At 35.6% G+C, this 15,378-nt stretch overlaps 2 long non-coding RNA genes across 8 annotated transcripts in view; one reads left to right on the top strand and one right to left on the bottom strand.

The window, feature by feature from the left end:
- Positions 1-15,378, top strand: part of MITA1 (metabolism induced tumor activator 1) — a 133,238-nt gene that overhangs the window by 104,502 nt on the left and 13,358 nt on the right. Inside the window, exon 2 of one of the 6 annotated variants that reach the window (XR_001745970.2) lies at positions 35-212. The exons of the other annotated variants lie outside the window; for them this stretch is intronic. This is a non-coding gene — a long non-coding RNA (metabolism induced tumor activator 1). The remainder of the gene's footprint in view (positions 1-34; positions 213-15,378) is intronic. 6 annotated transcript variants of the gene reach the window in all.
- LOC105375912 (uncharacterized) overlaps positions 1-15,378 on the bottom strand; it is a 42,502-nt gene that overhangs the window by 4,797 nt on the left and 22,327 nt on the right. The gene's annotated exons all lie outside the window — the stretch shown is intronic.

Here is a 15,378-nt window from a genome sequence, read left to right on the forward strand (position 1 = left end):
TTTCACTGACAATTGGCGTATGACTTTATTTCAGACAACTACTTCTTAGCCTCCCCAAATTTCCTCCCAAGTATTTCTGGGAGTCCCCAATTTGTGCCTCCCTTGTATTCATGGTCAAAATCAGAAATGATGGGATATTTTCATCAGAAGTATATTCACATGAGGAGCAAAAGATCCTTGGGAGAGAAGCTATCCCAACCAAGCCTGCGCAGGTAACCAAATTTCAGATGGGCAGAACTAATGAAACTGAGAACAGTTTTGGCTGTCACTTGCTTATGCCGAGATGATTGTCTGGTTCCTACAAAGAAAGATAACCGTATATAAAAGTTTAAAAGCTCTATTTTACTAGAAAACACAAGATATTGGGATGTAAACTACAGAGTTTTGTTCCCGTTCTAAGAGATGAGAAGGAAAGTATTCTCCCGAACTTTGCCAACAGAATGCTGCATAATTTTGGCAACATGATGTCTTTGGTACAAAGCAGAGATGTCTACTAAGTGCAGAGTACCCTGTGGGTCTAGCAGTGTCCAAGAGAGGAGAGAAAAATGCTCGAATTAATGGTGCTCCTGCCCAAGATTGGGGAATGCCTGTGAAATAGTGTCTTAGTGGATAGGACAATAGCCAGGGTAATGAGTTTGAGAGGTAGAAGAGAAAAAAGAAAAAGATAATTGAGACCTTCTTGGGCTGAAAAGACTTGCTTGTAAACCCATTTTAGCAACCTATCAGGATTTCAAAGATAAATAATTGGAGTGAGGAGAACTCACGGTTTTCTGTTTCAGTGCTTCCAAAACACATCTTGTGTTTCCTTTTTAAAGTCTTGTATTAGAAGAATAATTGGTTTGATTTAAAAGAAGCCTTTGAATTTCATGGAACCAACTGATACACATAGTTAACATTTCATGTACAGGGCAGAAATACTAGGGAAGCGATATCATGGAACCACCCCAAATCTGCTCTAGGAGTGAGACAGGTTTGGGTATGCCTGATGAGCTAGTGTGATGGTTTCCAGAAGGCAATTTTCATGAGATGTTTTGTTGTTGCTGTTGCCTTGGAAGAGAGATAGTGGAGAGGAAAGGAAGTGGAGTGGCTAGTGTTGCCTTTTCAGATATTGATTCATTTTATTATTGCTTGAGCTGTATGTTGAGAGAAGCAAAATGAAAAAGAAGCTATTATTTTTGAGGGATTCTGTGAATACAGGCAGTGATAGGATCATATCTCCTTGCACAATGATAATTGTGAACCAGAGAGAAGAAGAAACAATTAATTCCCAGTAAGGACATGATATAGAGCTGACTCTGGGATGTGCTAGGAAACCTTGGTGTGTGCTCAAAAGATCATGCCCATTTACTTATTTACGACATTACAGTGAAAACAATACTACTAGACTATACTGTCTCTGATTTCTTATATCTTAAAATTATCAAATTCATACTTTTTTTTTAAGACAGAGTCTCACTCTGTTGCCCAGGCTGGAATACAGTGGCACGATCTCGGCTCACTGAAACCTCTGCCTCCTGAGTTCAAGAGATTTTCCTGCCTCAGCCTCCCGAGTAGCTGGGATGACAGGTGCCTGCCAGTGCACCTGGCTAATTTTTGTATTGTTAGTAGAGATGGGGTTTCACCATCTTGGCCAGGCTGGTCTCAAACTTCTGACCTCGTGATCCACCCACCTTGGCCTCCCAAAGTGCTGGGATTACAGGCGTGAGCCACCGTGCCAGGCCCATGTTCATACATTTTAAATCTACTAGGAATAAGAGCAATCTGTGTACACTACCTGTAATCTGAGCTAGCTGCCTTCTTATAGTTAGAACATAAAATATTATATTGCTTTTAATTCACATTTTTGAAATAGCTTTGGTATGTCTTGAAAACCTGCAGTTTCAAAGTTATATGATTGTCCTCTTGCTTCCACTTTGTTGATAAGATGAAGAAAAATAAATCTGGAATAATAGAGATATTTTATATAAAGCAGATATATTGAGAGCTAAGTCTGTAAACATGGAAAAACACAGCCATTTTAGAGAATCAACAACCCAATGAAATAGCAAACATTTCACAAAGGAGAATTTTGGAGTTGGAAGTTGGGGATGGAATAAATAATTTGGCACTAAAATAGCATGTTATGTTAGAATTAGGGTACTTTGTGCTAGGTACCCAATGTGAATGGAAAATAATATTTAAAATTATCCTACTGCTTTCTTTTTGTGTTACAATCAATGGATTTGAAATATGCCTCAAAGCAGAAGAGCATTGATTATCTCAGTACCTACTTTCTGTCATTCCTTTTGATCTGTTTTTTCATAAGTGTTTCTCCATGTTCACTATTAACATTTTGACTTGGACAATTCTTCACCGCATAGGACTGTATGTGGCAGGTTAATTTGCATCTCTGGCCCCAGAATGCTAAAAACCAAAATAAAACCCTAGTTATTATGATGATCAAACTATTTCCTCACAGATTCCCAAATACTCCTTTGGATAAACATTTATTTCTCCTTTATTCTGAATACTCAGCCCACTTTAAGATGAAATTTATGAGTCTGTAAGTGATGCTATTTAATATTTATTGAGCACTTACTCTATGTCAACACTATGCTAAGACCTATACCGACATCATTTCATTTATTTTTCTCAGGAAACTATGAATTTCATGCTATTATTTTCTTCATCTTACAATTGGGAAAACTAAGTTTAGAGATATTAAATTGCTTAAATCCACAGAGCTGGCTGGCTAAGTGTTCTGTGTTTATATCTGATTACAGAATGTCAGAGTCTTGACCTGTAGGGTGATCTTTAAAGTGCAGTTTGTTCACGAAAAATTAGTGGGACAGATATAGGCTGAAAAGGGAAAAGCATGCAAACATTTTTTTCAGGTGTTCCTTCATTGTACATAGGCCTTGACCAAAATGTGTGCTTTTGAATATTCTGCTAGTTCGGGCTTCAGAAAACCAGGAGAAGATTTAAGTTATGAGAAAAGCTCTGTCATATTACTGATTGGGTTCAAATCCTAGCTCTTCATGATTTTAGACACATTTACTCCGACTACTTTGCTTCTGTTTTTTTTTCTTCTGTGAAATGAGTAAGAAGGAGTAAAGCTAGGAAACACATGTGAAGACCACAGCCCTGAGAGACAGAACACTAAATGACCAGACTTAATTGGAAGATTGTAGAATTCTCTCCATCCTCCACATTTTGCTGCTACAGTAAGACTCCATATAATTCTACATGAAAGAGCTGCAAGAGCTCTCTGAGGAGGACTTAGAGAATCCCAAAGTAAAGAAAGAACACTTTCTAGCTCAATTTGTTTATCTGATACCCCAAACAGATAAAGACATTACAAGAAAAGAAAACTACAGAAAGAATTACAAGAAAAGAAAACTATATCTTTCATGAATATTAATGCAAAAATATGTGACAAAATATTTTAAATCAAAACTACATATTAATATATTTAAAAAATGCCATCCCAAAGTGGCATTTATTCCAGGTATAAAAAGACATTTGAAAACTAATCAATGTCATCCACCAAATCAGAAGCCTTAAGGAATTAAATTACAACATTATATCAACTGACAAAAAACAAACTCCAACACCCATTCATAATAAAATATGTCAGCAAACTCGGAATAGAAGGGGAACTTCCTCAACTTGATAAATTACATTTATTAAAAAATTGCAGCTAATATCATTCTTAATGGTGAGAGGCAATACATTTTCTCCCCAAGATCAGGAACAGGGCAAGGACATAGACTCTCACCAGTTCTATCTGACATTGTACTGCCAGGTTCTAGCTAATGCAATAAAACATAAACAGTAAATAAGATGTGTGTGTACTGGAAAGGAAGTAATAAAACTGTATTCACAGATGGATTTACACACACACACACACACACACACACACACACACACACACACACACACTCCTGGAGCTAATAGTCAAGCATAACAAGGTTAGAGGATACAAAACCAATATGCAAAAGTTAATTTTTTCTTACATACTAGCAATGAACAATTGGAATTTGAAATTTTAAAAAATCTACAATAGTACCAAGAAATACTTAGATATAAATCAAACATATATGTATAGTTCCGGTATATAGAAAACTACAAGACATTGATGAAAGAAGTAGACTATCTAAATAAACGGAGAGATTTTCTATGTTCTATGCAAGATCTATATTGTTAAGATGTCATTTTTTCCCAACTTGAAATATATACTCAATTGAATTCCAAAGTTCCAGGACAGTAATTTTTAAATATTATCAAGCTTGTTGTAAAATGCATATGAAAAGTCAAGAGACCTAGAATGCCATATACAATATAGAAGGAGAAAAAAAACCAGAGGAAAACTCAGACTAAATGATTTCAAGACTTATTTCTCTACACATCAGTGTAAGAGAATAGGTAACCTAGAGATAGACCCACCCAAATACAGTAAACTGGATTTTGATAATGACAACTCAGCTGAGAATAGGTAATATTTTCAATAAATGATGCTGCAGCAATGGAAATCCATATGCCAAAGGGGAAAAAAGGACCTAAATGCAGACAATACACATTACATTAAAATTAACTCGAAATGAATTATTAACCCAAAGAAAATTGCAAAACTATACATCTTTTGGAAGAAAACACAGAAGAAAATACACAATCTTGGGTTGGATGATGAGTTTATAGTTATAACACCCATATCACAATCCATGAAAATAATTGGGAGGTTGAACTTCATTAAATTAAAAAGTATTTGCACTGGGAATGGCATTGTAAAGAAAATAAAAAATACAGTGAGGACTCAAAATACTTGCAAAGTACATATTTTATAAAGTACGAGTATCTAAATAGAGGGAAAAAAACCCTTAGAAAACAAATAACCCGATTAAAAAATGGTGAAAAAATTTGAATTAGGCATCTCATCAAAAAATTTATACAGGTATCAAAAAAGCATGTAAAAAGATGCTCAACATCATGCCATTAGAGAATTGCAAATTGAAATCCTATTAATGTATATCTATTAGAATAGCTAAAATCCTAAATAACGGACATAACAATCGCTGGCAATTATATAGAAAAAAGAAAAAGACTGTCATTGCTTATGGGAAAGTAACATTCTGCAGTCACTTTGTAAGACAGTTAGGCAGGTTTTTTTTTTCAAAGCAAAATGGTCTTATTATATGACTCTGAAATCACACTCCATAGGCATTTACCCAACTGATTTGAAGATTTATGTCCACAGAGAATACTGAATATAAGTGTTTATAGCAGCTTTATTCATAGTTACCAAATACTGGAAGTAATCCTTTAATAGGTAAGTGGATAAATAGACTGGATGTATTCATATAATGGAATGCAATTCAGGGAAAAAGGGGAATTAACTATCAAGTCATGTAAAAGCCTTGACAAATCTTAAATAAATAAGACATTAAAAGGCCACTCTGAAAGGACTACACAATATATCATTCCATTTTTATGACATCCTAGAATAGGCAAAGTTATAGGGGCAATTTTTCCTAGGAGTTTGTGGAGGAAGTGTTGAATAGAAGAACTTACAGCATTGTTTAGAGTTATGAAACTATTTTGTGTTTTATTTTGATACTTTAATGGTGGATTCATGGAACTCTACATTTATCAAAGCACATAGAAGATTACAGCACAAAAGGTAAACCTCAACATATGAAAAAACATCATTAGGATATTGGAGTATTCCAACGTAGAATGAAAAATGTGACAAAAGAATAAAACTGTATTACCCATTTATGATATATCCTCACTGAATGGAGTGAAGAAAAATGTCTTGAGTCATTAAGTAACTGAAAATGAGTGGAGACTGACTAAAGTCAAAAGGAACTGTACATAAGCACTGTGTTTTAGCTGATAAAGTTATTTTCCATGAGGGTAGAGACTAAAAAATCTGAAAACACTATATATATATACTCTCAAATTGAAGAAATAAGTAAACGGATGGTAGATAGTCAAAGCCAGGATTTTTACTGTAGTAGTGAGAATTTACAGACATGCAAGGAGAACAGGCTAGAATGATCCATGTGGTAATGGATTAGAGTTGGATATATCAGTAGGAAAACTCATTTAGATTAACAGAGACACAGGTAGTTACAGTCAGTGATTTCAGGCTGCTATAACAAAATGTCATACACCAAGTAGCTTATAAACAACAGAAATTTATTTCTCACAGTTCTGGAGGAGAGGAAGTCCAAGATCAAGGCAACAGTGGATTTTGTGTCTGGTGAGGCTCACTTCCTGGTTCATGGAAGATGTCTTCTTGCTGCATTCTCACCTGGCAGAAGGGACAAGACAGGCCTCTGGGACCTTTTTAATAAGGACACTAATGCCATGCATGAGGCCTCTGCCATTATGATCTAATCACCTCACAGAGGTCCCCACCTTCTAATATCAGCACATTGATGATTAGGTTAAAACATATGAATTTTTAGGGAGCATGAATATTCAGACTATAGCAGTTAAATATAGAAATACTTATAGATATGTGTATATATGTGCGTTAGTATAAATATATTTTTCTTTTACTCTGTCATCTTGAAACACTAGGAAAAAATTCCAATAACAATGAACACATATTAGCACCCAGATTTTAGTTTCTCATAACATTCTTCAATATAAAGATCCAGAGATAATTACAGGAATGACTGATTCTAGGGTTGGGACAGGAGATATACATGATGAGACAAGTGACAGAACTCCCAATGACCACAGTTACAATCATTTGAACAAAACAAAGTGATATTAGATTATAACCCAAAGTGTAAAATAAATTTCCTTGATTCCATAAGCAAATGAAAATAATAAATAAGGGAGAATAGAGAGATCTCCTGTGCAGACATATTCCAAATAATTTATGTAGATACTCCACCCTTAATGAGATGTAATATAATTCCTCTCTCCTAAAACATGAACTAGGTATAGTGACTTCCTTCCAAATAGTATAAAATGGGGAATAGCGGGCATATCTACACAGAATGGAAACATAATAAACATCACTTCAGTAAGGTGAGCAAGGTTAATTATCAACAGAGTTAGATCATGTTGATAGTATGCACATAATATATATGATGTGATGTGAATAACACTTTACTTCTGGGTTCTTCCACCAAACCTGTGACCCCAGTGTAATCATGAGAAATATAGCAGATAAATTCCAGCTGAAGAGCATTCTACAAGCTACCTGACCAGTATTCTCCTAAACCCAAGGTATTCAAAGACAAGGAAAGTGTGAGGAACTGCTGAATCCAGGAGAAGCTTGAGGAGACATGGCAGCTAAGTGCAATGTGATATCCTGGAAAAGGGTGTTAGATAAAAACCGTTTGGGAGGCTGAGGCAGGAGAATTGCTTGAACCTGGGAGGTGGAGGTTGCAGTGAGCCGAGATCGCACCATTGCACTCCAGCCTGGGCAACAAGAGCAAAACTCCGTCACAAAAACAAAAACAAAAACAAAAACAAAAACAAAAAACCATTAAAATAGCTGGGACTCTAGTGGGTAATGATATATCAATATTGGTTCATGGATGAGATTACACTGGGATCACACAGCTCTGTGTGTGTGTGTGTGTGTGTGTATCTATCTATCTATCTATCTATCTATCTATCTATCTATCTATCTAATATTGCCTTTCTAAAATCCAAAATATTTGGAATTCCAGAACTGATTTTTCTCCAAGGGTGTTCATCCAGTAATTGTGGAACTTTAGAATCTATTCCATAGGGTCTTGTGAGAATTAAATGAGATAATTCACATGACAGGCTTACCCTCACTACATGGCATATACTATATGTCATCTATAACAGTAATATTATAATTGTTATTATCAGTTACATGTCCTAACATTCCATGAATCAAACAAATTCTCTTCTCTGTATCCTGAAATCCTAGGTGGTCTCAGCTATTTGGAGAAGTTGGAGGAGTTCTAGTACCCAAAACCTAGAAACATACTTTTCTAGTGAGGATTCATACCCCTAATTATATACACTTTCATTATGTGGTCATTAGAGAGACATTGGCTTGTATCCACGCATTTAAGATCTTATGTTATGGATTGTATCTGTGCAATAATGTGATTAACTGTTTGAACTGCGTTGAACAGAAAGATGTCCCAAATCTGTGGCTTATTTTTTTTTAATTTTTAAATTTTGTAATTTTAAAATGTTTTTTTCTGGGTACATATCAGGTGTATATTTATGGAGTATATGGGATATTTTGATGGAGACATACGATCTTTTAGTTATTTTTAAATGTATAATTAAATTATTATTGACTATAGTTGTGCTACCAATTACTAGATCTTATTTATTCTTTCTATTTTTTGTACCCATTAACCATTCCCACCTCCACCCCGCTATTCTCTTCCAACTACCCCTCCCAGTCTCTGATGACTATCATTCTACTCTCTATCTCTATGAGTTCAATTGTTATAATTTTTAGTTCCTACGAATAAGCGAGAACATGCGATGCTTGGCTTTCTTTGCCTGGATTTTTTCACTTAGCATAATGACCTCCAGTTCCATTCATGTTGTTGCAAATGACAGAATCTCATTATTTTTAATAGCTGAATAGTAGTACTCCATTGTGTATATGTACAACATTGTCTTTAATTTTTTTTTATTTTTCCATAAGTTATTGGGGTACAGGTGGTATTTGGTTACATAAGTTCTTTAGTGGAGATTTGTGAGCTCCTGGTGCCACCCATCACCCGAACAGTATCGCTGCACCATATTTGTTGTCTTTTATCCCTCGCCCCACTCCCACTTGTCACCCCAAGTCCCCAAAGTCTACTGTATCTTTTTTTTTTTTTGAGATTGAGTCTTTCTCTGTTGCCCAAGCTGGAGTGCAGTGGCACGATCTCGGCCCACTGCAACCTCCACCTCCTGGGTTCAAGCAGTTCTCCTGCCTCAGCCTCCCAAGTACTGTATTATTCTTATGCCTTTGCGTCCCCATAGCTTAGCTCCTACACATCAGTGAGAACACAGAAGTAACTCAGGAATGGAAAACCACACTGTCTTTATCTATTCATCTGTTGATGGACACAGGATGTTTCCAAATATTGGCTATTGTTAATAGTGCTGCAATAAACGTGGGAGTGCAAATATCTCATAAATATACTTATTTCTTTCTTTTGAGTGTATCCCTAGCAGTTGGATTACTGGATTATATGGTAGCTCTAGTTTTAGTTTTTGGAGAAATCTCTAAACTGTTCTCCATAGTGATTGTACTAATTTACATTCCCACCAACAGCATATAAGGACTCCCTTTTGTCCACATCCTCGCCAGCATTTGTTATTGCCTGTCTTTTGGCAATAATTAACTGGGGTAGATGATATCTCATTGTAGGTTTGATTTTCATTTTTTTGATGATCAATGATGTGGAACACCTTTTCATATGCCTGTTTGCCATTTGTATGTCTTCTTTTGAGAGATGTCTATTCAGATCTTTTGCCCATTTTAAAATTGGTTTATTAGATTTTTTCCCTATAGAATTGCTTTAGCTCCTTATGTATTCTGGTTATTAATCCCTCGTCAGATGGATTGTTTGCAAATAATTTCTGCCATTCCGCGGGTTGCCTCTTTACTTTGTTGATTGTATCCTTTGCTGTGCATAAGCATTTTAACTTGTCGTGATACTATTTGTCCATTTTTGTTTTGGTTGCCTGAGTTTATGGGGTATTACTCAAGAATTTTTTGCTCAGTTCAATGTCCTGGAGAGTTTCTCCCATGTTTTCTTGTAGTAGTTTCATAGTTTTAGGTCTTAGATTTAAGTCTTCAATCCATTTTCATTTGATTTTTATATATGGTGAGAGATGGCAGTCTAGTTTCATTCTTCTGCATATGGATATCCAGTTTTCCCAGGACCGTTTATTAAAAAGACTGTTCTTTCTGCAATGGATGTTTTTGGCACTGTTGTCAAAGATGAGTTCACTGTACATGTATGGACTTGCTTCTGGGTTCTCTGTTCTGTTCCATTGGTCTATGTGTCTGTTTTTATGCTAGTATCATGCTGTATTGATTACCATAGCTCTGCAGTATAACTTGAAGTCAGATAATCTGGGTCCTCCAATTTTGTCCTTTTTGCTCAGTATAGCTTTGTCTATTTTGTGTGGCTTAATTTCTACCTCATAAATTGTGGTTTCTTCAAGATTTTAATGGGCTTTGAAGCATGATTATTCTCAATCTGTGAAGAATCAGGCATGTTATTGTCATGAGGGCTTTACAGCTCTTGTTTTTAATGATATAATTGTGCACTAAGAACTTTTCTTTCCTAAAAGAGTTACAAGAGAACAGAAAGTGGCATGAATCCATCTCTATATCATCACCTTGTTCTGGCGGCGATCCAGGGGGCACCACATTTATTTTCATTTAGAGATAACCAAACACAATGAGGACATACACACTGTTGTCCTTTTTTGGGGGGGACCTGACTCAGATGCTTCCTTTTTTTCCTGTTTGTAAGCCATGGTGTTCAGGAGAACTTGATACTGACCCAACACTCACAGTTATGGTTCATTGCCAAGAGTGGCCTGACTAGGGGACATATTTTCCACATGTTTTTGACTGAACCTGACAGTCCTGGTGCATGTGATTCTTCCTGCTCTGAAAACAAAATTCCTTTATTATGACTCTCTTTTCTTTCTTCCCTTGTGTCGATTGCCTTTCCACTATTTTCACTGGTCTTACTATCTTTTCCCTGTTGTTAAGTCACATTTTGACTTTAGAAGTTTCTCCATTTGGGAGAGAGCCATTGCTGTGTGATGGAAGCAAACACTCCAAAGCCAGCTTAGATCATTATTTGTTTTTAGAGAGGAAGTCTTCAAAGGCATGAATGTTGCTGTCGACTTTGTTCCTTAAGACTGCTAAATTAGAGATCTACTTTGCCATTTTTAAACCTGTATTCTTCATATCATTTCAAATGAACCGTTCCGGTTGTATTGGCCATGTGTGTCTATTATAAGCTTCAGCTTGTATTGGCTGTGTGTGTGCGTATTATTGCAAATATAGAAGTCATGTGTCTTGCAGACAAATACCATGGCCATGTCTGAAATGAGTTTGACTGTGTGTAACTGCAATGGTTTCAGCCAGTTGTATGTGGAAACAGAGGAAGAGGCAACTACATGATTTAGTCTCAGTTCAATACCCTTAGCTCTCCCATGTGACTTCATGTCTTTTAAGTCCCGCTCCATTTGACAGTTGGGAGCATGAAATTCTGCTCAATAGAACTTTAACACAAAGCTTTGGCCTCTGTTACAACGTATTTATGTTGTGTGTGAATGTGGGATCTCAAAGTAAGTTTTAAAGAGTAGGAGAAAGAAGAACTAGGAAGGCACGTGGGCCTGAGGTGGGTAATGGTGGCATTACTAGGAGGAAAGGATGAGATGATGAAAGGAAATCTGGGGACTATAAATGCATTACTGCTTATTTTATAGCACTGCATGGATCTTCACCTCTCCTGAAATCATCTTGTCATCTGGCAAAATTTCTCCCTTCACACTTCCAGTTTAAAAAAGAAAAGAAAAGTAAAAAATAAAGTTGCTATAAGCCATCTCTAAAATCCATTTCTAAAAGTGCAGGTTATTTATTTTAAAGAAAGAAGATGGGAGTTACATTTATAAGTGGATAGGAAGTCTTAAATGTATCAGAACTGTACTGATAATTAAACTTGAGTGTAGCTTTCAGTGTGTGACTTGTAATCATCGTTACTTTTGGTACATCTGGAGCTACTTCAGTGATTTGGTATAACTATTCACTATTTTCTTTCTGCTCCCCTTTGAGTAAAAAGAGGATTCTTCCCCCTCAGACCTTAGCTTCCTCTACAAACAAGACTACATATGAAAGAGGATTTCACTAACAGAAAGAGCTGTTGTCACTGCTACAATTGCATAAATAGAGAAAACATATTAGTTTATGCAGATAATTCATATCAAAGTGCACTTTAAGCTCAGGAATTATTAGAATCAATGCTATTGCTCTTTTAATTTTCCAGATAAATCCTGATACCTATTATACTACATTAATTATCTTTATTCAACTTTAGCATTTCCTGTCAAAAGATTTTAGTTCTGAATTTTAAAAAACAACTTATACCAAACCTTACAATAAACTAAATTTGGTGATTTGAAAACAATGAAATGTTGCTGTGACGGACAGATTGCTTTATAGGAAGAGAAAATTTGGCCAATGCAAGAGAGAGGTTCTGTGAGCATTTGTTTGGAAGCTAAGCATCTGTTTAGTTGGTTTATGTTTCTTCTTTTTAGATCTACCAAAAAGTGACCCGTCTTTTTAAATGAAGGTTCCAAGGGAACTCTTAAAAGATCCACATTTCTGCCCATTTGTCCTACAAACAGAATTATTTTAAAAAGCAGAATATCTTATAACATAATTACTAAAAATCTGTATACTGATATTTCAAAAATTTTATTGGTTTTAAGACAGGATTCAAAATGGACTTCCAAAAGCAATTTTCGGTTCCAATTATTCTGAAAAGTAGGGATGCCAATATTACCCCCTTTGCTGCCACCTGTTGTTTCATCAAAGAAATGACTCACTTGTAATATTTTTTTCCTTTAACATAAATTACTCATCAAAATTGTTATTTCCAGTATTAAAATCAGATTATCTTCAGGATATATATATTTTTTTTTACAGAGAATCTTTTTGTCTCTAACAGTTGGAGAGACACGTTTTCAAGTAGTCACACATGATATCCAGAGATTTAGATTCTGCCTTTGGCATATGCAGTAGACATTTGAAAAGGTTGAAAAGACAAAAACAAAGAAAGCCAATGATTCCTAAACAAGCACATGATAACCCGAAAGGGCTTTGTAAACTAAGCTTCATAATGTAAAAGCACTGAGCTTAATAACAACACTCTTAGCCCTGGAAGTAAAATTAAAAATAAAAACTCCCCATACCCGCACTCCTATACCCTCCAATTATTGTATATCAGGTATTAAAACTGATAAAAAAAAAATGGAAATATAGAGATGAATATAACATGGTCCTTTTAAAATTATTTATTTATTTATTTGTTTTTTGAAACATGGTCTTGCTATGTTGTCCAGGGTGGTCTCAAAATCCTGGACTCAAGTGATCCTCCTGCCATGGCCTCCCAAAGTGTTGGGATTACAGGCTTGAGCCACCACACCTCGGCCTGGTCCCTGTCTTTGAGCAATTCAGAATTTAAAAGAAAAGACAAATTATGTTGAGAGAAGAAAGTCCCTTGTTCATGTTGAAACTGGATGTACTGGTGATTAATTAGGAAATCAAGATAGGAGACTGATAGTAATTCTGCTATCATAAAAACATCAGTAAAAAGGACAATATTGGTGATAGAAATGGAGAAGAGACTATAAATGAGACAATTAAAAGGCTGAGATTTGGTGACTAAAAGAGTTGAGAGAAAAGAGATTATTCCAAGTTCAGAGTGAGGGAGACTGGAAAGAATTGTTGGTTAGCAGGAAAAAATTGTTCTTTAGCTGTATTTCATTTACCAGAAGACCTGTACAACTACTGCAGCTATCTAAAATATAACCCATTCCCTCATCACCCAAAATAGATAAACCACAATAATAAACAAATAGGAATTATATGGCAAACAGTTGAGTAGCTCCAAAACAAACATATCTTACATTAAGCTCTTATGTTCTATCCATGTTAGATTATTTTTGTGTCTTGCCAAGACATTATTTATTTTTATTTTAGAAACAATTTTAACTTTAATCCATAGTAGATTAGGATGAACGAGAATGTCAGCAAACAATTTCTGGAGGCAAACGGGCAGGTAGCTGTAAGAGTAACGGCTGACAATCTAACTTTCTAAGTATTTTAAACTTAATTTGTTTGTTTGTTTTTTTATTTTGGTTTTTTAAATTTCACCTGACCCTATTTCATTCACCTTGGCCTTAGACTAATGTTTCAAACCAGGAAATCTCAGTTTCCGAACGTTCTGACACGAGGTGGCCCATGATCTCGTGGGAAGGGTGCTGGGTCCACTCTGCTTCTGGTGCCGGATACTGGTGCACTGAATGACAGCCAACTACACATTAACTACAGCAGCAATGAAAATAATGTAAATGCTCGTGTGGCACTAAGTTGGTGACAAACACTGTTCTAAGTGCATTATGTACTTATTTAACCTTCCCCATCACTCTGTGAGGTGAATGCTCTCAGTACACTGGCTTTACAGATAAGGGATGGGACATGGAGACCACACAGGTAAGAGGTGGATCTAAGATGCAAATCCAGCAGGTCTGGGGCCAGAGTCTGTGTTCTTGCACACATACACTACAGTTTCTCAGTGATGAACACCAGGGAAGAGTCTTTCCGAAGTAAATCAGGTTAGTAATTTCTAAGCAATTCAGTTTGCAAGGTATAGACAAATATTTAAAGCTAAAGTCATTAGGTCAAAGCTGGTATTTTCTTTCAAACCACAGTTTCATTTTATGGTAGAAATGGTGTATACCATGATTTACTTTCTCACAGCCGATATTACAGGTAGGTACAGTAATTTAGTGAATTAACCTGTTTCTTAGTAAATGGATTATATATTCATAAAATGTTACTATGTGTTATTCTCATCAAGTTACTGTCTCATTATTATCAGAGTTAATGAGGCACTTTATCAAGTACCCTCTACCCCACCATTTCTGATTAACCTCTGTTACATGGCTCAAGATGGATTTGTCAAATACATTTTTATTACTATTTTCTTAACTTTTATTTTAGGTTCAGAGGTACAAGGGCAGGTTTGATACATAGGCAAACTTTTGTCATGGGAGTTTGTCGTACAGATTATTTCATCACCCATGTATTAAGCCTAGTACTCATACATTTTAAGTTACTCTTAATGAAAGGTGATTTGGAAAGTGTCATCTAGCCTTCTTTTGTAATTTTATTTCTGGAGATTGTAAAAATTTTCTCTTTCTCTTTGCATGTCTGGAATGTTAACATGCAATGTCAAGGGGTGTGTGTGTATGTGTGTGTGTGTTTGTGTCCATTAATACGGCCCAGGGCACATTGTCTCTTTTGATCTGAAGACTCAACAAATTACGGTAGCTTCCTCCTCTTTTTTTATTTTAACTTTTGTCTAATGATTCATTTCCTATCTGTAGTCTGGCAGCTCTTTCGAGGACACCTATTATATTCTCCTTAGATCTTCCAGATCTGTTCACCTGCCTCATGTTCTTTTACCTATAAATTACAGCTCTGTAGAACTTCACTTTTTGTTGCAACTTTTTTCTCTTAATCTTTGAAAACCCTAAATGGCTTATTAACATACATCATTCTCTCTTTCCTTTCATTTTAAAAATTTAATTTCTTAAATAGTAGAAATATATTTGTTAACTCTAGAAAGTCTTTTT

The sequence above is a fragment of the Homo sapiens genome, chromosome 8 (genome assembly GCF_000001405.40).
Source record: "Homo sapiens chromosome 8, GRCh38.p14 Primary Assembly".
Lineage (NCBI taxonomy): Eukaryota > Metazoa > Chordata > Mammalia > Primates > Hominidae > Homo > Homo sapiens.